Source organism: Homo sapiens, chromosome 14 (genome assembly GCF_000001405.40).
Source record: "Homo sapiens chromosome 14, GRCh38.p14 Primary Assembly".
In the NCBI taxonomy this organism is placed as follows: Eukaryota; Metazoa; Chordata; class Mammalia; order Primates; family Hominidae; genus Homo; species Homo sapiens.
Window position 1 is genome coordinate 53550671 of NC_000014.9, and position 24789 is coordinate 53575459.

A 24789-nucleotide genomic window follows, 5' to 3' on the forward strand; every position below is an offset into this window, starting at 1 on the left:
AAGTCAAGTCTATCAAGGGGTTACACTCAATGGGTAGCATGACCATGTTGCCCAAACAGGAGAAAAAAGGTCTTTGAATCTCAATGCTGAATTGTACATCTGCACTCTGCCTGATGAAGCAACTTCCTGATTAATTTTTCAGAATGTTTTTGCATTTTCTGCCGAATGTCAGAGGTGTCTTCTCTGTGGAGTCAGCACTCTGTGGCACGTTGGAGGGTCCGCGGTCAGATGGGCTGCTCTTTCCCCAAGGAAGATCCACCTTTCTATTGGTGATTACTGCAAAAGACCAGATGTTTTCCTTTAACCTCCCATTGGTTCTAATCTCCCTCAATCTTTGATCCCAACCCCACTTGAAAGTAACCCTTCATTTAGCTCCTCTTGGGTGGTCCTCAGTGGAGATTTAGTTAATTCTAACTTCTCGTACAGTCTTTCCCCATGTGCTTCCATGGTAAAATTCTACCTTTCTAATTGCTAAGAGGAAAATTGTTAATCCTTTTGATTCAGGGAGCAGTGTAATAGCCTTAAAATTGGCAACTTAATTGAAAAACTCAGAAATTGCTGACTCCTTGGGGTAGTTTTTTAATAGCATTTCCCTCATGATTCTTTCCTTCTTTCTTTTTCAAAATAAAATAAAATCTGTTACTTAGCATGTCCAGTCAAAAGACTATCTCCTTGTTATCTCTCTATTCTCAGATTCCATTTGGATTTCATGCATGATCTTAGGTATTTTATTGGTTGTTACAGATCAGCTTAGTGGGTTATTATAGAAAATGCTCACTGCAAAACAGAAGGGACATGTGATGCCGTCTAATGGGAAATAGAAATTCTTTTCCTCCCTCTGTTCCCATTATGTAAGAATAAACAACTTAAATTGCTACTCTTAGATTCCAAGAGTTGTCTAGGCTACATATGTCAAATATCAGTGTGAGTTTGGAGATTGGGTTGTTCTGCATTATGACTGGTATATATTAGTATTCTCTTGACTTCATTATCAAAAGCAAACCAAACAAGCTAGTTTGAAAGAGACCTCCAATTTTGCTTTGGATTCATACAAGCAAATTCCTTTAAAAAATTTCTGGGAATAGAGAGGTTTCTGGGTTCTTGGCATATTCCATTGATCTTACTTATGAATAGAGAAAAGGTCAAGGATTTTGCTTATTTGTTTTCCATAGGCACTCTAAATTTTCAAAGATTTGGAGACTTTTAAGGGACTTTTAAGAGACACTTAATTTGTTACAGATGCATTAACATATTGAATTTATGTGGAAGAGTGGAGGCCAGGGAAAGGATATTGGGTTCATTATTTATTAGTAGAGCTAGTCAAAACTTCCCTGTTTTAACCAAGTGGTGGTTTGGCTCCTATTCAAGAAGCCATCTCTTAATATTGCTGTCCTCAGCAATTAATGTACACTGAGAGGGTGGGTGTGCCCTTATTATACTCAACCATACTGGATTCTAGACTGTGGGTCTATCTCTCCTCTCTCCAAACTGGACATGACCCTTTTGTGTAATTACCTCAAAATATGTGCTATTCCTGCTTTCTACTCAAAATGAAACTCATTAGGGAGGCCTGCAAATTGTGCAGGATCTGAGCCCCTCTCCTTGTCTAGCCTCATTTCCCATCAGATCCCCCATGCTTTCTTTTCCTGGTACACTGGCCTTTTTCCAGTGCCTCACATGCTTCCTCCTCCTTGATGGAAAACTGTTCCCTGATGGCCTCATGGACTACTCCTGCTCCATTCCTGCCTTCGCAGGAAAACAAGTGTTTTTCCTGATGGTGGCACTTTGGTTATGATCAGCTGTCATAGTACCATGTTCTTCACACCACTGTCTCAATTTTACATTTATTTATCTTTTATTTGATTGGCTTTCTACTCCACTACTTACAGAGGTCCATGAGGTCAGAGATAGGGTTCAGTTTTGATCATTTATATATCTGCAGTACTGAAGAACTTGCCTGGTATTAAGTGTCCAGTAAATATCTGTAGAACGAATGAATAAATGCATGAGTGAATGAATGAATGTATAACATAAGGTTCACTTGACTTGTACCCAAAACTTTTGTATATCAGGTTGATGTTTTTATTAAGTCCATACTTTCAGGTGCATCTGCATCTCTTCTCTTGGATTGTTAAATTTCTAGAGGGTAAAGACTAGCTTTCTATGTTTGTCCTGTCTAGTCCTCAGCACAGTTTCAGACAGAGATCAGAGACAGGGCCACATCTATGAGGTTGCAAAACAGAACAGAGAACATAATAACACATTTCCATCTTCTTCCTGTACAGCTGGAATTTATTTAAATTAAAGAACTGGAGAAGAAGCAGAGATGGCCCCCTAAAGCAAAGTTGGCGGGGGAGGTACATAGGAAAGGTGTGTGGTGTGTGGACCTCGGTTGATGGCTCATCTGAATTTCAAGGCTGAGTTGATGCATAAAAGGCCTTTGGCTTTCTCTGAACACCAGTCTGCAGTGGCAAGCTTCATGTGTTATCACTGTAAGGGAGAGCATGTATCCTGTCTCCATTGGAATCGTAACTGTCAAAGTCATATGGCATTAGCTATGCAAATTGCTGAGCATAGGCAGTGTGTTCTGCAAGAATATAAATCAGAAAAGTAAACGTTACTGTGCCGTGTTCCAGTTACCCATCCTTCCCTTTATTGTCCCAAACTTATTCATATGGTGCCTCTTCCCCATTGTAAGTGCTTAGAGTCACTCCAGTTCTAAGGCCCAACCACACTGGCTGGCCCAAAAGACAGCTGTTGATGGTGCCCGTAAGTGACTCCCATTTAAATAATTGCCCATATCCCTGGAGTTTCCTGTTGGATTAGCTCTGGCTGAATCCAAAGTTTCTCTTTCAAATTGGCCTTTATTCTAGAAACAGAAGCTAGAATCCGGTATTAAAACAAGTTTTATAAAATTTTCTCACTTATTTTCACTATCATCTGTTGTGCTTTCATGAGTATTTTTCTTTAAAACTGTGTTCTTGGGCAATTTAATACAATAATTCCATTTTACTGTGTCTTCTACCCACATTTGTCTGTGTAGAGCTTTTACTGCTGTATTGAATGAGACAATCTTTTTTAATAAGAAAAGTTCATCTTACTGCTGGTGACGAGTAAGTGGAAAACATGATTTTATCAAGCAATTTCTTCTCTTTTCTATCCATTGCTTGCCAAATTTAGAAACAAAAATGGGAATATCTCACACTTTGCAAATGAATCCTTGTGGTAAATAGAACCTTAGTCCTTTTTTACCGCACTGCATATGATAGTGCTTTTAAAAGCATTTAAGCATAGGTAATAATGTTTCTCAAAGACTGGAACTATTGATTTATAAAGTTAGGTGTGAGTAAAATCTAAAGATAAATAGCATATCATTAAAAAGTGAAATAATATTATTTTAATTCATACTTGACAATTTTTCGAAAGAATGTTAAGCTCTTACATAAATATATGGCCTCCCCAGCTGTTCAAATAGTATGATTAATTAAATGGATTCTGTCTGAAAACCAACACTGGTTCTTGTTCTCAAATTGCAAATATGTCCAATGTAAAGGAAAATGGAAAAGTATTCCTCTGGTATCTACTGCATTTGAGGTAAAGAATTAATATTGTTGAAATTCCAAAGTGTTCCTTAGATGTATGTGTGTCTGTGTTTGTGCCCACACCTGTATGTGTGGTTGTGTGTGTATCCATTATATACATATATATATTTTTTAATGGCAGGAAATTTTATTTATAAGAAACTGCTCTATTTGCCAATCTTACCTATCCAGAATAAAGCCAAGAACCTATTATAAGTCAACAGAAAAGACTTCTTAGAAGCCCAGATAAAGGTGGGCTTCTAAGTCTACTCATTACATCGAATGCATTTAAATATAGAAAAAATAAACCACATAGACCTTCAGTGAGAATATTACTGTTTTTATTTTACTACAAGGTAAATAACTTGTCTGAAGGGTGTAAAGCATTAAGGGGTTTCCAAGGCAAATTGCAATGGTTGATTGGGACTAGAAAGTGCAAGGCCTTAATTCAGTATAGATTAGGGAGTCAAAGAAAATTACTGAGTTGGAAAGATACATGTTTAGACATGTTCTTTAGGAAAATTAACCTGAAGTGCATAGAATATATTGCAGAGGCTGGAAACCCAAGACAGTTATGAGACTACTGCATTAGTCCAGATGCTATGGGGTTAGTCCAGATAAGTAACAACAAGGTTCTGAATGAGGGTATGGAGAGGACAATATAAGTCTTAAGAGACCTAAGAGATATGGCAGAAGTAGAATAAAAAGCACTTGGGAATTGTTTCAGTTGGGGCATAAGAGAAAAATCAAATATATCTTTTTTTTTCTTTTTTGAGACGGATTTTCGCTCTTGTTGCCAAGGCTGTAGTGCAATGGTGCAATCTCAGGTCACAGCAACCTCCACCTCCTAAGTTGAATCGATTCTCCTGCCTCAGCCTCCCAAGTAGCTGGGATTACAGGCATGTGCCACCATGCCCAGCTGATTTTTGTATTTTTAGTAGAGATGGGGTTTCACCAGGTTGGCCAGGCTGGTCTCGAACTCTTGATCTCAGTTGATCTGCACTCCTTCAGACTCAGATACATCTTTAAAAATTCAAGTCTATGAAAGTAAAATCATTATGCTACTGGCAGAGTAGGAACAGGTTTGGGTGGGTGTGGAGGAAGATGGTGAATTCCAATTTGCAATTTAAGGTGCACATAGAACCTCCAAGAGGAGACGTCTCATAGGAGCTGAAGATGCAGAGCTGGACTATCTCTAGGACCAGGCATAAACGTGAAACCCATAATAGCTAACATTTACTGAGCACTTACAAAGTATGAGGTACTTTCCTATGTGTTGTTATGTATTAAAAATTTACAATTCTCCCATGAGGTAAGTACTATGTTTAATTTATTTTAAAAATGTATTTAAAATTGAATTTTAAAATGTAATAGTAATACATAATTATTGTAAAAATTCAAGTCATAGGTAAGCTGAAAATTCAAAAGAAAAAAAAGGGAGTAGTAAGTTAAGCAAATAACTTGTTTTTGTTTTAAAAAATATTTGTAGTAAATTAGAATCAATTTAAAAGAAAGACTTTTCAAGAGGAAGTTAATAGCTTCGTAGAAAAGGAGAAAACATCAAAAATACAAGAAGTAGAAAAAGGAACAAAAACAAATATACCTCCAAGAACAATAAAACCCAATAAACCTACAGCAATCTTGGCCTCTCTAGAATAGAAACAGTCCTCACTTGACTAAGATCTGGGGTTCTCACTCTGTAATATCCTAGTAGATAACTGATGTTAAAATAATACCAATAAAAAAGTGAAATGATTTTTATGTAATTTTTTAGGAAGGCAGAAAAAAATCTAGATTCTATTGTACTTTAAATCAAAGATCTTTTACTCAATGGATAAAATTGTAATGTAATCAATAAAGCCAGCAAGACTGCATGAATTATTCCATGGTAGTTCCATGCTGTCAGATTTCTTATTATGTTCATAGCAAGCTAGATGGCAGACCTTCCTTTTCAGGAAAGCAGGAACTGGGCCAAGGTTGAAATTCTACTAGCAGGGGCTGATATTAGAATAGGTGTGGTTTTTCTGCACTTGGAGGGCTCTAATTAAAGGGAAATTAGAATCAAAGTCTGGGATGAGGGCTGGGGTGGGCCCAGGAAGTAAGGGACGCTCCAAAGCATCCAGTCCGAGGGTAATGGAAGAAAAAAACAAAAATAAGATTTAAAGCAATAGATCACACTAGAAAGCTGCAGGCAAGAAGGAGTAATGGGGTTTGAGAGAAGGGACCAGAAAGATTCCCAGAAGCAATTGGATGTCGAAGATCAAGACTTTTCTAGGATAACTAGGGTCAAGCAAAAGGGCAAGGAGGGAATACTGGGGGCTCAATTCTCTCTCTAAGCAAAGAAATGGAAGTTAGTCTCATGAATACAAATGAAAAAAATCCAGAATTTATAGAGAATGTAGAGAAATACTTGGAAGGCAAGAAGCACCATGAATATATATGTGTGTGATGGTTAATACTGAGTGTCAACTTAATTGGATTGAGGGATACAAAGTATTAACCCTGGGTGTGTCTGTGAGGGTGTTGCCAAAAGAGATTAACATTTGAGTCAGTGGGCTGGGGAAGGCAGATCCACCCTTAATCTGGTGGATCTAATCAGCTTCCAGTGAATATAAAGCAGGCAGAAAAATGTGAAAAAGAGAGACGGGCCTAGCCTCCCAGCCTACATCTTTCTCCCATGCTGGATGCTTCCTGCCCCTGAACATCAGATTCCAAGGTCATCAGTTTTGGGACTTGGACTGGCTCTCCTTGCTCCTCAGCCTGCAGATGGCCTATTGTGGGACCTTGTGATCATGTAAGTTAATACTTAATAAACTCATATATATGGCCTATTAGTTCTGTCCCTCTAAGAGAACGCTGAACCCTGACTACAGATTTTAGTACCAGGAGTGGTTCTAGAGGAACAGAGTGTTAAGGATGGAATTCTTCCATTGGTTTTGGGGTTTCTGGAGTTGGCTGCTTAATATGATTAGACCCCAAAATGTCAAGGACTCTACTTCTAATAGTATAGACAACACCGATAGTCCGTGGCATGAACTGTTTAGAGAGTTATGCAAAATAAATGCATTTGACACTCCTGATTCACCTCTCGTGAGAGGCAAGAAGTTTAGTGACTCTATACATAAGTGAGGGCATTGATTGGAAAAGAAGGGGACCCTGAAACTTGTAATGGGGACATGTGGGAGGACCCTGGTGAAGCTGGGGACACTGAGTTTGTAAACTCTCATGAACCTTTTTTGCCAGAAAGAACAGCTTCCCCATCCCCAGTAGAGGCAACACCCCATCCCTGACCCAGGCTGCCATCAGCCTTTCCACCTTTGCCTGAAGAGATAAACCCTGCGCTGCCTGAGGCAACAGTGATGGCCTCCCCTGAGGCAGCTGCCAGGCAAGATAATATTGATTCTCCTCAGAAGCCACCCTCAACACCTCTGTTTGCTTCTAGACCTATAAATAGGCTGAAGTCCCGGTGGGCCCCTAGAGGGGAGGTTGAGAGTGTGACCCATGAGAAGGTGCACTACACTTGAAAAGAACTGTTTGAGCTTTCTAATTTATATAAACAGAAATCTGGAGAACAGGCATGGGAATGGATATTAAAGGTATAGGATATTGGTGGAAGGCACAAGGAGTTGGATCAGGCTGAATTTATCGATTTGGGACAACTAAATAGGGAATCTGCATTTAATGTTGCCCCTCGAGGAGTTAAAAAGGTTGTGACAGTTTACTTGCTTGGTTAGCTGAAATATGGTTTAAAATATGGCCCACTGTAAGTGAGCTGGAAATGCCTGATCTCCCTTGGTTTAATGTAGAGGAAGGGATCCAAAGGCTTAGGGAGATTGGGATGATGGAGTGGATTAGTCACTTTAGACCTATTCATCCCAGCTGGGAAGGTCCAGAAGATATACCCCTGACCAATGCCTTGCGAAATAGATTTGTGAGGGCAGCACCTGCATCTTTGAAGAGCCTTGTAATTGCTTTTCTCTATATGTCAGATTTAACAGTGGGAATTGGAGTCACTCAGTTACAAAATTTAAATACAATGGGAATAATTGGCAGGAGCCAAGTGGCAGGACTCAACTGTCAAAGTCAAGGTGGGCATAGCTACCGTAATGGACAGCAGAGGCAAAGTGGCAATCAGAAGAGTCTGACTTGTGTAGAGCTCTGGCATTGGCTAATTAATCATGGTGTTCCTAGAAGTAAAATTGTTGAGAAGTGTACTGCATTCCAACTTAAATTATACAATCAGAAAACTTCGAGGTTGAATGAACAAAAGACTAATTTGAATTATAAAAACAGAGAATCACAGCCCCTCAGTCAATTTCCAGGCTTGAGCCAGTTTACAGACCAAGAACCCCTTGAATGAAGGGGAGGCTGTGTCCCCTTGAGGAAGGACCCCACTACATTACCGACAATTTATGTGTGAATCTTTCTCCCATCCTTCCCCAAGGAGGCATGAGGCCTTTTACCAGGGTAACTGTGCAATGGGGAAAGGGAAATGATCAGACATTTCAGGGATTACTGGACACTGGCTCTGAGCTGACGCTGATTCCAGGGGACCCAAAATGTCATTGTGGGCCTCCAGTTAAAGTAGGGGCTTATGGAGGTCAGGTAACTAGTGGAGTTTTAGCTCAGGTCTGACTTACAGTGGGTCCAGTGGGTCCCCAGACTCGTCCTGTGGTCATTTCCCCAGTGCCAGAATGCATAATTGGCATAGACATACTTAGTAGCTGGCAGAACCCCCACATTGGCTCCCTGACTGGTAGGGTGAGGGCTATTATGGTGGGAAAGGCCAAACGGAAGCCATTAGTGCTTCTCTACCTAGAAAAATAGAAAATAAAAAACAACATTGCATCTCTGGAGGGATTGCAGAGACTAGTGCCACCATCAAGGACTTGAAAGATGCAGGAGTGGTGATTCCCACCACATCCCTGTTCAACATTCCCATTTGGCCTATGTAGAAGACAGATGGATCTTAAAGATGCAGGAGTGGTGATTCCCACCACATCCCTGTTCAACATTCCCATTTGGCCTATGTAGAAGACAGATGGATCTTTGAGAATGATAGTGGATTATCATAAACTTAACCAAGTGGTGACTGCAATTGCAGCTGCTGTACCAGATATGGTTTCATTGATAGAGCAAATTAACACATCTCCTGGTACCTGGTATGTAGCCATTGACTTGGCAAGTGCCTTTTTCTCCATTCCTGTCCATAAGGCCCACCAGAAGCAGTTTCCCTTTGGCTGGCAAGGCCAGCAATATACCTTTACTGTCCTATCTCAGGGGTATATCAACTCTCCAGCTTTATGTCATAATCTTATTCAGAGAGACGTTGATCGCTTCTTGCTTTCAAAAGATATCACACTGGTCCATTACATTGGTGACATTATGCTGATTGGATCCAGTGAGCAAGAAGTAGCAAACACACTGGACTTATTGGTGAGACATTTGCATGCCAGAGGTGAGAAATAAATCTGACTAAAATTCAGGGACCTTCTACCTCAGTAGAATTTCTAGAGGTCCAGTGGTTGTGGGGCCTGTCAAAATACTCCTTCTAAGGTAAAGGATAAATTGCTGCTTTTGGCCCCTCCTACAACCAAGAAAGAGGCACGCCTAGTGGACCTATTTGTAGGCAACACATTCTTCATTTGGGTGTGTTACTCCGGCCCATTTATCAAGTGACCTGAAAGGCTGCCAGTTTTGAGTGGGGTCCAGAACAGGAGAAGGCTCTGCAACAGGTCCAGGCTGCTGTCCAAGCTGCTCTGCCACTTGGGCAATATGACCCAGCAGATCCAATGGTGCTTGAGGTGTCAGTGGCAGATAGGGATGCTGTTTGGAGCCTTTGTCAGGCTCCCATAGGTGAATCACAGTGGAGGCCTCTAGGAGTTTGGAGTAAGGCCCTGCCATCTTCTGCAGATAACTACTCTCCTTTTGAGAGACACCTCTTGGCCTGTTACTGGGCTTTGTTGGAAACTGAATGTTTGACTATGGATCATCAAGTCACCATTTGACCTGAACTGCCTATCATGAACTGGGTGCTTTCTGACCCATCAAGCCATAAAGTGGGTCATGCACAGCAGCATTCCATCATCAAATGGAAGTGGCATATGCCTGATCAGGCTTGACAAGTCCTGAAGGCACAAGTAAGTTACATAAGGAAGTGGCTCAAATGCCCATGGTCTCCACTCCTGCCACTCTGCCTTCTTTCCCCCAGCCTGCACCAATGGCCTCATGGGGAGTTCCCTATGATCAGTTGACAGAGGAAGAGAAGGCTAGGGCCTGGTGCACAGATGGTTCTGCATGATATGCAGGCACCACGTGAAAGTGGACAGCTGCAGCACTACAGCCCCTTTCTAGGACATCCCTGAAGAATGGCGATGAAGGGAAATCTCCCTGGGGGAAGAACTTAGAGCAGTGCACCTGGTTGTGCACTTTGCATAGAAGGAGAAATGGCCAGATGTGCGATTATATACTGTTTCATGGGCTGTAGCCAATGATTTGGCTGGATGGTCAGGGACTTGGAAGAAGCATGATTGAAAAATTGGTGACAAAGAGATTTGGGGAAGGGTTATGTGGATGGACCTCTCTGAGTGGTCAAAAACTGTGAAGACATTTGTGTCCCATGTGAGTGCTCATCAATGGGTGACCTCAGCGGAGTAGGAGTTCAATAATCAAGTGGATAGGATGACCCGTTCTGTGGACACAACTCAGCCTCTTTCCCCAGCCACCCCTGTCATCACCCAATGGGCCCATGAACAAAGTGGCCGTGGTGACAGGGATGGAGGTTATGCATGGGCTCAGCAACATGGACTTCCACTCACCAAGGCTGACCTGGCTATGGTCACTGCTGAGTGCCCAATTTGCCAGCAGCAGAGACCAACACTGAGCCCTTGATATGGCACCATTCCTCGGGGTGATCAGCCAGCTACCTGGTGGCAGGTCGATTATATTGGACCTCTTTCATCATGGAAAGGGCAGAGGTTTGTCCTCACTGGAATAGACAATCTGGATATGAGTTTGCCTATCCTGCACGCAGTTCTGCCAATAGTACCATCCGTGGACTTATGGAATGCCTTATCCACCATCATGGTATTCCACACAGCATTGCCTCTAACCAACTTTACAGCTAAAGAAGTGTAGCAGTGGGCTCATGCTCATGGAATTCACTAGTCTTACCATGTTCCCATCATCCTGAAGCAGCTGCATTGATAGAACAGTGGAATGGTCTTTTGAAGTCACAATGACAATGCCAACTAGGTGACAATAACTTGCAGGGCTGGATCAAAGTTCTCCAGAAGGCCATGTATGCTCTGAATCAGGGTCCAATATATGGTACTGTTTCTCCCATAGCCAGGATTCACGGGTCCAGGAATCAAGAGGTGGAATTGGAAGTGGCACCACTCACCATCACCCCTAGTGATCCACTAGCAACATTTTGCTTCCTGTTCCCACGGCATTACATCCTGCTGGCCTAGAGGTCTTAGTTTCAGAGAGAAGAACACAGCCACCGGGAGACACAATGATTCCATTAAACTGGAACTGAAGATTGCCACCTGGACACTTTGGGCTTCTCCTACCTTTAAGTCAACAGGCTAAGAAGGGAGTTACAGTACTGGCTGGGGTGACTAACCTAGATTATCAAGATGAAATCAGTCTACTACTCCACAATGGAGGTAAGGAGGAGTATGCATGGAATACAAAAGATCCCTTAAGGTGTCTCTTAGTATTACCATGCCCTGTTATTAAGGTTGATGGGAAACTATAACAGCCCAATTCAGGCAGGACTACAAATGATCCAGACCCTTCAGGAATGAGGGTTTGGGTCACTCCACCAGGAAAAAAACAAAAACCTGCTGAGGTGCTTGCTGAAGGCAAAGGGAATACAGAATCTGTAGTAAGCATCTTTTCATGTGCCTGTTGGCCACTTGTATGTCTTCTTTGGAGAAATGTCTATTCAGGTTTTTTGCACATTTTAAAATCCAGTTATTTGGGGTATTTTTGCCATGAAGTTGTAGGATTCCACATAGATGAGGTATCTATAATAGTCAAACTCATAGAAGCAGAGAATGCGATAGTGGTTGCCAGGGGCTGGGTGAGTAGGAGAAATGGGGAGTTGTTCAATGGGTGTAAAGTTTCAGGAGTTTAAGCCTGCAGTGAACTGTAATTACACCACTGGACTGCACTGTGGTTGGCAAAGTGAGACCCTGTCTCTACAAAAAAAGAAAGAAGAAAGAAAGGAAGACAGAAAAAAAGAAAGAAAGAAAGAAAGAAAGAAAGAAAGAAAGAAAGAAAGAAAAGAAAGAAAACTATAGATTAATATGTCTTATGAACATAGATACAAAAGTTCTCAGCAAAACAACAAAACATAAGCAAATTAAATTGAGCAATATATGTGAAGAATTCTATACCATTGCCAAGGGGTGTGTATCCTAGAAATGCAAGGCTGGCTCAACATTCAAAAATTAATATAATTCACCAGATTAATGGATACATAAGAAAATCCATGTGATCCTATCAATAGATGAAGAAGCAGCATTTGACAAAATTAAAAAAAATGATTAAAAACTCTCAACAAGCCATAAATAGAAGGGCATCAAAAAAATAAATACATTTAAAAAGTCCTTCAGCTAATATGGTATATCTAATGGGAAAAGACTGAATGATTTTCTTTTAAGTTTATTACTAGTGAAGATGTCTATTGTCAGCATTCCTACTTAATATTGTATTAGAAGTCCTAGAAAGTGCAATAAGGCAAGAAAAATAAATAAAAGGCACTCAGATAGAAATGGAAGCATAAAGCTATACTTCAAGATGTGTAAAATCCTAAGTAATCTACAAAAAAGCTCCTAAAACTAATAAGTGAGTTTAGCAAGGTCACAAACTACAAAGTCAACATCCAAAAATCAGTTAGTTTTCTATACTCTAGGAAAGAACATGTGGAAACTAAAATTTTTTAAAAGTAACATTTACAATACCTTCAAAAAAGTAAAATTTTAGGTATAAATCTAATAAAATATATGCAAGATCTCAACCCATACCTCATACCTTATATAAAAATTCACTCGATATAGATCTAAATACACAATATAGAACTATAAAACTGTTAGAAGAAAACATAGGAGAAAATCTTCATGATCTTGGGCTAGTCAAAGAATTCTTAAATACTACACCAAAAGCACAATCCAAGAAAAAAAGAAAGACAAATTGGACTTTCTCAAAATTAAAAATTTTGTTCTTCAAAGGATATTGCTAAGAAGATAAAAACATAAGCCACAGATTTGGTAAGAATATTTGCAAATCACATATTTGACGAAGGACTTGTATCCAAAATATAGAAAAAGCTTTCAAAACTCAACAATAAGAAAACAACTGAATAAAAGCTTAGGCAAATGATGAGACAATATTTCATCAAAAAGGATATGCAGGTGGGAAATAAGTACATGAAAAGATGCTCAATAACATTAGCCACTAGGGAAATGCAAATGAAAAGCACAATTAAGTTGCCACTGCATGCCTATTAGAATGATTAAAAAAGCACTGAAAATAGTCTGCTGACAAGGGTGTGGAACAGTTAGGTTTCTCATGTATTGCTCATGGGAATGCAAAATGGTACAGCCCTTCTGGCAGTTTCTGAGTTAAAAGTTAAACATAGACCTTGCATATGATCCAGCAATCCCATTTCTAACTATTTAGCCCAAAGAAATGAAAACCTATTTTTGAAAAGAAACCTCTACATATACACTCAAAATAGCCTTATTCAAAATCACCAAAAACTGGAACCAACCCCAAAATATGTCAATGGATGAGTAATCCATGCAATAGAATACTACTCAGTCATAATAAGTTACAAACTATTAATACATACATCATGAATGAATCTCAAATATATGACGGTAATTGAAAGAAACCAGTCTCAAAATGTTGAATACTGTATGATTCTGTTTATATGATACTCTGACATAAGCAAAACTGTAGGTTTAGAGAATAGATCAGTGGTTGCTAGGGTTGGTGGGTATAGAGCTCTGACTTCTGATGGTCAGTACAAGAACATGCTTTGGGATGTTGAAGTTAAGCTAAATCCACTTGTGGTGGTGATTACAAATATCTGTGTGTGTGCTGAAACCCATATAACTGTAAACAAGACAAAATGTTACTCTGTGTAACAAAAATATAAATTTAAAATGGCAATGACCATTTTATTGCTTACAATTTTTTGAGTCAGGAATTTGGCAGGGTTCAGCCAGGTTCAGCTGACCATATGGTGTCAATTCAGCTGGGACTGAAGAATCCAAGATGGCCTCACTAGTGTGTCTGGGTCTTGATGCTGGCTATTAGCCAAAGGACCTTAGTTCTCCTCCATGTGGCATCTCTTTCTACCTGGTTTACTATCCTAGGATTTCTCTCTGCATATGTCCTCTCTCTTCAGCAAGACAGCTTAAACTTCTTACATAGCAGTTGGGTTATGAGAGCAAAAGTGGAAGCTATAAGGCCACTTAAAGACCTGGTTTTAGAAATTCTAGAATGTTACTTCCATTGCATTATGTTAGTCTTGTCCAGATTAAGGAGAAGAGAAATAGTTTCTACCATTTGCTGGGAGGTGCAGCAAAATATCATTACATAGGAGTATGGACACAAAGAGACATGATTCATTGGCAGGGGGAGGTGGGAGGAGGAGCATAGGGAACACATTGTCAGTTCTCACACTGCTATAATGAACTACCTGAGACTGGGTAATTTATGAAGAAAGGAGGTTTAATTGACTCACAGTTCTGCAGGCTGTACAGGAAGCATGGCTGGGAGGCCCTTCATGGTGAAAGGGCGAAGGGGAAGCAAGCACTTTCTTCACATGGCAGAGTGGGAGAGAGAGAGTGAGTGAAGGGGGAAGCACTACACACTTGCAAACAACCAGATCTCCTGGGAACTCTATTATGAGAACAGCAAGGGGGATGTCTGCCCCATCATGATTCAATCATCTCCCACCAGGCCCCTCCTTCAACACATGGGGATTACAATTTGACATAAGATTTGAGTGGGGACACAGAGCCAAACCATATCAATGAATATTCTAAACAGCAGGAACAGCATGTGCAAAGACTCCTAAAGAGCTGAAATAAGAGGAGGTGAAAAGAAAGCATGGTGGCTGATGATGAATGAAAAGAAGTTTCAATAGAGATGAGGCTAGGGAAGAACCTAGAGCAAGATTATGTGGGACATGTAGGCTAATGTTACGGGTTTGATTTTATTCTAAGTGAAAGCCGTTAAAATAATTCAAGCAGGAAAGATCTGATATGATCTGTCTTTTCAAATGGTGGTGCTGGCTCCTGTGTAAATTCCTATATTCATTAATTAGTTACCTGAAGAGAAACACTCTATTCGAAGGTACCCAAATGTAGAATGCATAAAAACACATCCCATTGCAGTTTAAGGTGAAATAATTCACATCACATGTTTTCACACACATTTCATTCAACACATATTTGAGAGACTAACATGTGTCAACCACTTTGGTTTAAAAGGCAAATGAATATCATAAATGCTAGCTGTAGTCTTTTTGAAGTCCAGTGAAACCAAAAACAAAGTTTGAATGTCTTGGGAGGGATGAGATATTTTTTCCCACCCACAAGTCAAGTTTTTAAATCATTTACAACAAATACTCTTGTTTGCTTTTAAGACTGGAACTAAAAGAGCAAGTCTACCACCTGGCAAGATAGTGACAATCCATGAAGAGTATGTTGTGTAGGGCTGCACCTTTATTTTTAAGCGCACAGATTGGGGAGAGATGGAAGAAGGATGACAGAAGAAATGCAGACATATTGAGTTCTCAGCAGAGCAGTGCTATATGACCAGCCATATGTCATCTGTGTAGGTGCAAAAGTATAACTAAATATATGAAAGGAAAATATGGAATCATGCTTCACAGTGTGTTAGACAAAACACTTTAAGAAATCAAAATCGGCATGATTCACTGAGCATTTATTATGTGCCGAACATTATTGTAAACTCTGGGGCATAGAAAAGAAATATTAATATAATGTGATATAGAAACAATGTTAGGAAGTAGAGAGTCAGGAGATGGGATTCTGGTCCCATCTCTGCCATTAACTTGGTGTGGAAAGTAGAGCTAGTTATTTGTCCTCTATGGATCTCTGTTTTCTGATTATGCATATTGCTTCCAGCTATGACATTCCATAAGCTCTACTTCCTACCATTGAGTTTACAACCCAGAATTGCTGGAGAACATGACTTAGACAAATGAGGAATCAGATTTCAGTTTGATTCTACCAATGTTTATTGAAAATATTTTCATCTGAAAGTCAAAGTTATGTGGAACTTTGCAGTAAGTGGGTGGATCAAAATACTCAGGCTCACTTTCTATCTTTTTATTGACTGAACTAAGATGATTGTGTTTTTCATTGCAAATTTAAATTTTGAATTCCACTTTTTTAAAAAAAAATCATATTATGTATAATCTTTTTTTTTGGTGACAGGCTAGAGAAAAGGATGCTTGGGTGGCAATTGAAATAGAAATCCACTTTCAAATACTATTACCACGTATTTAGGGGGGAATAAACTTCGAAGAAACACTTTGCTTGTTTAGAACATCATTGTTTGCTAAAAGGTTAATGAAACTCAACTAGAAGTTGAATAAAGAAGAAAATCAATCAATGTCTCCCTTCCCCCATCACCATTATCAGCACCTTCAGGATGAAAAATATAGAAGTCCTGTTATTTTGTGCCTGTTGATTCACATTTTCCCAGGACTCTGGTAGACACAACAGGATTTGAGATGAAGGATATTTCAAATCTATTCCAAAGGTTTTTTCAATGATTGGGGGGTTTCCTGGTTATCTTATTTATATACATACCTGTTTTTACTGTAGCTACTGTGTGCCTGGTGCTAGCTTTATGTTTGTAAATGTCATTTTCACACCTATGAATAAAGGCATGGAGATAGAATTTACCTAACAACAAATATTTGATTATATTAACTATGTTCCTTAACTAGTGTGAGGAACTGGTGAAGTGTAGTGAATATGACAGACATGGTTCTTGACCTTAAGCTTAAGGAGGGGAGATGAAGAGCAAGTGATTATGAGTACGATGAGTGTATCAAAAGGCAGAAGCAGAGAGCTAAGGCCTGTTTAGCAAAGGAGCTGACCTGGTACTGTTTATGGTCTGAGGACAATAAGAACAGTCATATTCAAGTAGAGACCTGTTGTATAGTAAGGAATTTGGTTAAACTTTGGTCCCTGGGAGGTAACCTCTAAGTCTAAAGTATTTTCTGAGTGAGGGGAATGTCTTTGTTATTCATGGATGCCCTCTCCTTGACCATGACTGAGTTTATGCTAATGAGATGACTTAGAATGGGGACTGGCTACTCTGGAAGGACCAATCGTGTGATTAGAGCATTGCGGTTTGATCTGTGTGATGTCAGGCTAACCTGTGGGGAGGGGAGGAGCCTTAGAGATGGAGTTCAATCATGTACTAATATCAATCATGTCTATATAATGAAACCCCAATAAGAACTATGGACACCTGGAGCTCAGTTGAACTTCCCGGTTAGTGATGCACATTGATATGCTGGGAGGGTGATGTGTCCTGAAGATGTGGAAGCTCTGTATCTGGGACCCTCCCACACCTCACCCCATGTGTCTTTTCATTGTTGGTCCCAATTTGTATCTTTTATATAAAACTGTAGTTATAAATATGGTGCTATTCTGAGTTTTGTGAGTTGTTAAAATGAATTACAGTACCAAGGGAGTAGTGAGAACCCCAGAATTTGTAGCCAGTTAGAAATGCAGGTGGCCTGGGAACCCCAGAGCTTATGGCTGGTGTCTGAGAAGAGGAGAATCTTATGGAGGACTCTGCTTTTAACCTGTGAAATTTGACCTAACTTTGGGTAGGTAGGTGTTGGAATTGACCTAACTCTGGGTAGATAGGTGTTGGAACTGAATTTCCTATTATTCAGTTGGATTGCAGGGATAAGCAAGATGGGTATGGTTTCTTCCCTGTCAGAGTGACTAGTCATTGCCTCAATACCTGTACCATTGGGTAAATTTAATTTTTACTTTAAACGAGATTATGTTTAAATAGCCTGAGGGAAGAGGGCAAATCACCAAAAGGCAGCTGATTGCATGGGGATAGAGGGGGCTGGGAGTGAATTTTGCCTTGCTGTTAGGAGAATAGATGGCTGAATGGAGGTGAAACGTTATGAATAGATGGTAGGCATGTGAGAGTCAAATGATTTTTAGCATTAGGTAGTGATCTTGCTGAAGTAGCCCCTACAGAAACATGTGTGTGGATTTTGTGCCTGAATGACGAGGAGCATTGCCCCTCACCTCCCCTCTCCTGACTATACAGGGAACCACACACCAGTTTCACAGCATACTTATCCTATGTGACCTCCAGATTGCAACTGGAGAATTCAAGCAGAGAAAGAGATTAAATTGGCTGGACAGGGTAACATTAAACATGAATAAAGACTATACTTAATGTTTCAAAGCTTGGTGGACCTCCAGAACCATTTGAGGGTACTTTGTGAACGTACAGATTCTACCCTAGACTTTTTTTTATCTTTCTTTTTTTTTCTGAGACAGAGTCTCACTCTGTTGCCCAGGCTGGAGTGCAGTGGCGCGATCTCGGCTCACTGTAACCTCTGCCTCCCGGGTTCACGCCACTCACCTGCCTCAGCCTCCCGAGTAGCTGGGACTACAGGTGCCTGCCACCACGCCCGGCTAATTTTTTATATTTTTAGTAGAGAGGGGGTTTCACCATGTTAGCCAGGGTGGCCTCAATCTCCTGATCTCATAATCCACCTGCCTTGGCCTCCCAAAGTGCTGGGATTACAGGCGTGAGCCACTGCACCTGGCCCCTAGACTTTTAAAATCAGACTTTTTAAAGGAGGATACTTAAGAATAGGGCTTCCAAGGTGATTCTGAGGGGCTGCCAAATCTGAAAACATCTGGTCTACCTGATTGTCAAACAAGGATGTCTCACAAAGCCTCAAAGAGATTTGTTATCAACAATTACCATTTTGCTTTGCTGTCAGGATATTATTCTTCTGAATGGACCAGTTTCATTTCTAAAGCTATAGATGTAGAGGATCTTGCTTTCCTCTTCTCCCGTCTGTGGATTTTTATTTTCAGCTTCATTCATTGGCATCTGAAATCTTGGGAGTTAAGATGTGTTTTTCTTTTTTTTCCTTTTTTTTTTTTTTTGTTGGGGGAGTAGGAGTGTCAAGTCTGCCTTGTATGGTAAAAATAGAGTGGGTGCTTTTGGAGAAAATTTCAAGGATGGGGTGGAAGGTAGATTTTAGCCATCAAAATCATTTGAGCTAACCAAATCAACAATAAATCACAAACTCCAGATTTTTGTTTAAAGGGGAGGAGACCAAGGCAGTGGATGTGCAAATTAGCCAGGCCACGACTTGCTGGCTCTCGTTCATTTTGTAAACAAAAGCAGGCCTGAATTCAATCAAACATTACTTGTTAAAGTAAACTAGCAAAAAGCTGGTGAAAATTAAAGTAGAACAGAAGATGGTTTCAATAATTTCATTCTCCAGCTTTTAGCTTAAAAAAAAAAGCAAAAACCAACAACCCACCATTCCATTCTATGGGGCATGTCCTCCCTTTCAAGACACTTTCATGAAAACCAAACAGTTTTTAGTGGGGGTTATATATATTGAAAAATGCTACCTGTAGTATTGGGTTAATTGCCTTCAGAACAAAATTCTGAATACTATATATATAACTTTGACAATATTTTTGTAGGCTTTTAGAGACTTCTTAAACAAGAGAAATGGGACTCAATGCATTGGCTAGCTGAGGGTCTATGTTGTTTGATAAATATCATGTGCCTGGTATGCTATACTTGTTTGAAGTGACACTGAGAGATTAGTTGTTTCTAGACATTTTTTGGTTAGGTCTTTAATGTACGCAGAGCTGTAGAGTTTCCCCTCAAAAATGAACGAAGCCTGAGGAGTTTTGCTCTCTGGGACTAGAAACAAGTGGACCATTGCTTTTGCCTGAGGTAAAGTGTTCCCCTAAGGTGACAGGTCTAAGCTGTCATTTCTCAAAGGGGAACAGTAGGAATACTATCTCAATCCCAGGGGAGTTCTAATTATGGAGGCTTAACTTCAAAGCTTCAGTAGAAATGCAAGTGGAGCTGTCATTTTTGGGGTTGTGGGGAGGTAAGAATCCAGAAAGCGATTGCTGAGTTTTGGGACTGTGTTTAGCTGTCCAGTTGTCCACCTAGGCCAAAAGTAATCCTGAGTCATTGCCTGAAACTCCCTCCACCTGTGTGCTTGTGTTACGTTCCAGCAACTGAAAGAGGTGTTGATTCATTTCAGGCCTACTCTTTCTGTGATTAAGTTCAACCCACCACAGAGGACTCAGGGGAACTACACTGTGGGCTCTAGGTCTGGGATTTGTTTTCTCTGTGCTTTTCTCTGTTTACTCTGCATTGTCAATTATGAGGTAGATATCACATGTGTTTAGCCGAAAAGATAATGCACAGTATCTCATAACAGTGTAGAACAAGACGGGGTAAGATTGTAGGCACAAACCAACTGTTGATGATAAGACACCAAATGAAACAACAATAGCAGCACTCCTGTGCTGCAGAATCAGCTACAGGAGGCAAACTTTGCAATGGCCTCTGTGAAAATGACTCACCATCATCAAACCATAGTTAGGAAGAGCTTGGGCTGCTTCCTACTCAGGTCTATCAGTTGACTGTCGAATACTCTCAACTTGGGGTGGATATAGAAAGTGCCCTGTCTACTCAGAGGTTTTTTGTACTGGAAGAGGATTCATTTAATGCTTAATGATAATTTGGATATAAATTAATTACCAACTAATCTGCTTGAAATTCTTCCGTTGTGGGTCTTCTTAGAGACAGTCAGCTGGATGAAATAACCTCTTGTCAATTCCCTCTTATCCTATGGGCCTATGATGACTTTTTTCAATGGCATTACAGAAGTGCAAACTGTTTTGTCCGGACCCTTTAAATATCAGCTATGGGAGGAGCTTTTTCCATTTGAGGCTTGTATTTTTGTTCTTCAAGTTGATGGTTCTATTTTGATACGTACTAACTTTTTATCCTCTATCCTGGTACTCGTCTATGGCATTGACCCAAAGACCAGTTACAAAAGTGATGGGCCTGGCAAAAGGTCCTTGAGGGGAGAATGTCCTGGCTCATACTTTAATAGTCAAAGGAAACAAGGGCAATTTCCTAGCACCCCTACCTTGATGCCTGCCCTCCTGGGGTGATCAGGAATGATATTTTCATTGTGTTATACCTCAGCTTTTACTTCTTTGTGTTTATTCCATTGCTGAAAGAATCAGAACATTACTTTTTCTAGCACACATTGTTTGTCTGAAAATACACCTGGAGAACTGCCCAATTTGGAAATGACTTAAATTACAAAAAAAGCACAGCTGTCTTTAACAGCTCTAGGAGTTCATGCAACGAGCCTACAATTTATTGAGTAGGATTAGATGCTTATTGCCTATGACACTTTAAATACCATTACATTGAAGTTTATACAAGAAAGTCCAAGTTTAAAACTGGAATCTTAGCAATAACAGCTGGGCCATTTGTTTATGTGATAGGCAGGAAAGAATGACTTCTGTAATCTTTCTGTTTGGCTGCAGGATTCTGCTTAGGGGAAAAAAATATGGGGAGGGGGAAGAAAGAAGCTAATTTCAGATTGTCAAGCTGAGCTGAACACTGCTGGCTAATTTGTCCCTCATGTTAAGACCTCTGCCAAGGTTCCTCTTGTATCCTCTTGCTCTCTCACACCTGACAAACCAGTACTTGAAATACTGTAGCCCACCTCAATGACAGCAAGGGGTATGTCACTAGCTAGCTTGCAGCTCTCTCCCCCAGGCGGCTCACATTCCGCATTTTGTTTCTAGCATGAAAGACTTTGTTTTAAATCATAATAGCAACCAGGCTGTAATCACATTAGAGCGCACATGGGGAACTTGCAAAAAGTCATGTGTTTTGGATTTGACATTCTGATTTATGGTTGTGTGCTCCAGTTACACAGCTGCAATCTCATTTTCCGACAAAGATGTTTTCTATTTTTCTATTACTTTGCTTCACCCTGTCTTTATGTTGGGGAAAATGAAAGCCACCAGGTGAAGTCATAACATAAGTAAAAATGTTTTTGTGTTTGGGTTGGAGAGCGTAGTAAATGGTGTATACTGGCATTTCAAACACAGCTTGTTATTTTTGAATAAAAATGTAAAGGGAATTGCTTACTTAAGGTAATCGCAAATTAAAGAAGTACTCAGAAATTTGTTTGTAAAACCCAGAATTATCCTCCAAACTTTCTGTCTCTATCACTCGATATTAACATCCCAAGAGGGGAGTTGGACAGTAATGTTCCATTTTGGATGTGTAGGTAAACTGAGCTCCCAGTCTGGTATGCTTATTTCACCAAACTCAAAGACGTTCAGGGTTGGGAACTTGTAAAGACAATCTCTACCAACCTATTCATTGTGCAAATGAGGAATGTGAAACAGAGATGTATAGTGACTTGCCCAAGGTCTCACAGCTGGTTAGCCACAGAGCTTATACTGGAACTCAAATTTCTTTCTTCCCAGTCCATTTTCCACCATTCCTTTTAAATGCAAGTTGAACAGCACTTTTTGTGGTAAGCTGACTACTACTATAAAGAATATTCCAAATAAGACTTCTGTTAACATAGAGAAAAGAAAACTTCTTTTACTTTTTTGTTATTTCCTCAAGTCTAACATTTTTTATTGTGAAGTGTGGTGAAAATTCAGACCCATAACTCGTTCAGCAATATACACGACACAGTATCCTATCTTGGTCTCATAACTTGGGTTATGTTATTAGCAATAAATATAACAATCTTGAACTCAGATGTATTAAGATTTAACACATTTTAATTTTTTCACAATATTTGAATAATTCCAAATATAGTTATGTTTTTGGCAATCCAATAAAATCTTGATGAAGGGATAAAAATATTTGTATAAGAACATTTAAAAATACATATAATGAAGTCATGCATGGGTATAAGCAGTTTGATTGACGTGGAGATCTCTATGAAGAATGAGAAGAACGCTGGCCAGGCGCCGTGGCTCACACCTGTAATCCCAGCACTTTGGGAGGCCGAGGCGGGTAGATCACCTGAGGTCAGGAGTTCTAGACCAGACTGGCCAACATAGTGAAACCCGTCTCTACTAAAAATACAAAAATTAGCCGGGCATGGTGGCAGGCTCCTGTAATCTCAGCTACTCGGGGGATCGAGGCAGGAGAATTGCTTGAACCTGGGAGGCAGAGGTTGCAGTGAGCTGAGATCACGCCATCGCACTCCAGCCTGGGGGCCAAAAGCAAGACTTCGTCTCAAAAAAAAAAAAAAAAAGAATGAGAAGAACAAAGAACACTAAAGCTCTATTGTTTGGGTCATTATTTTGATCCCCATTTCTCTCTCACATAGATTTGGTCTTTGCTTTAGGGGGGATTTTGGATCCTATGGTCATTAGGTCACCATAGTTTTCTCATAGGAAAGGAAATCCATATATGCAGTAATTATTTAAATATGTTTTAGTAGGATTTTCTAAATTGCAGATAATGATCAAACTGCTCCCTCTTATTCAAGGAGGAGAGAGAGAATGGGAAACCAATAGTTTTGTTTATTATTTTTAGTTGAATACTTGTAAACAGATGCTACATCAAAGTTTTAGATTCTTATATGGGAATAACACTTAGCAGTGGACATGTATAGTAGTATGTATAGTGTACTTATTTTTTGGGCTGATACCCCTCTCCCCCAGCCTCTATTCTCCCCCTTTTCTGCCAATAGCACCAAGATTTTCCTTTTGGGGAAGTTACTCCTATTCTATTCTCATCTATGAGATGAATATCATATCATATGAACCCAAAGAGTCAGCTTAAGTCAATCACCTTATTCCATCTGTTCCTTGGTGACAGTGATGGTATATGATGGGCATATGATGAGTAATGTGGGCCAATGAGATTGAGTCCAAGGGCTTATGGGGATGCTGCTATTCAATGTGCTATGTTTGAGAACCTACCAGTTATTTTTTTTTTTTTTTTTAATTTTAAGGGGAAGAACCTAGAGCACCTTGTGAAACTGACATTGAGGAAATGGCATGGTAAAACAGTAAAAAAAAATTTCTTGTTACATGGAGTGAGCTGCTTCATCAAGCTTCTGTTGAAGGCAATCCTACTGGAACTTTTAGTCAAATGGAATTTTTTAAAAATCTCATTTTAAGGTTTCCTGGCACTTGTAACTGAAAGATCCTAACTGACACAGCAGGAAAGCGGAAGGGTGGCAACTGTTCAGTTAGGGCATAGTTCTCAAGATTGTCCTTTAGGAACATGTATCTTTGTGGGATCTCATCTATCTCATACAAGGATTGCATTGATGCATGTAGTGTTCAGTAGCATGACTGACCAGAGTGGAAGTTCCTGGAAATTGTAGCTATCATCATGATGATGATGGTGATTATGATTGTTAAAGACTGGGTTAGGAAATGATTTTGTAAATACAATGAGAAGAAGAGCTTTAAAATTTGCCTAAATTTCCCCACTTAATATTAAAAAGGAGGTGTGCTATTAAATTTTAGGTTTTTCTCAAACTCTCACAGCTATTTTTGTGGGTTTTTAGTGTATTTCGAGCCCCCTTTTCCTTCATCTCTATTACTTTATGATAATGTGAAGGCTCATTGTTATGTGAACGCACTGTTATGAAACAATACTCTCAGACATAAGCAGCTTTCCTTAAACCAAATCAAAAATACTATTTCTATTGCCCATGATTTTCAGAGGACTTCAGAGGACCCTGAAGCATGGGGTGCTGTGAATGCCACTAACTAACTTCATTAATCACACTTATAATGTAAAGGGAGAATTTTCTACTTTCTATAAATAATCTAAAATTTAAAAGTTTGTCAACTAAAACATTTGTAAAATTTGTATTGATAAAGTCCTACAAATAATATGACTCCTATCTTGTTTGAAATAGTTTTGTCTGAAGTTTTGTCATAAAATGGAAACTACCTATACACATGAAGTTTGCGGGTCCTTGAAAGAAAGGGTTTTTTACTTCTTTTTTCTTTTTGTCCTAGTCCATTCAGGCTGCCGTAAAAAAAAAATACCATAAACTGGGTGGCTCACAAACAATAGAAATTTATTGTTCATGGTTCTGGCA

General features: G+C 39.8%; 1 long non-coding RNA gene across 3 annotated transcripts in view, besides 1 other annotated feature; it reads left to right on the forward strand.

The window, feature by feature from the left end:
* LOC105370504 (uncharacterized) overlaps positions 1–24789 on the forward strand; it is a 402142-nt gene that overhangs the window by 230019 nt on the left and 147334 nt on the right. The gene's annotated exons all lie outside the window — the stretch shown is intronic.
* Positions 18565–23508: an enhancer, noted in NCBI's record as "VISTA enhancer hs1629". NCBI's record gives its function as "enhancer in: somite[11/11] | facial mesenchyme[11/11]" and the evidence as "EXISTENCE:transgenic organism evidence [ECO:0001131][PMID:17130149]".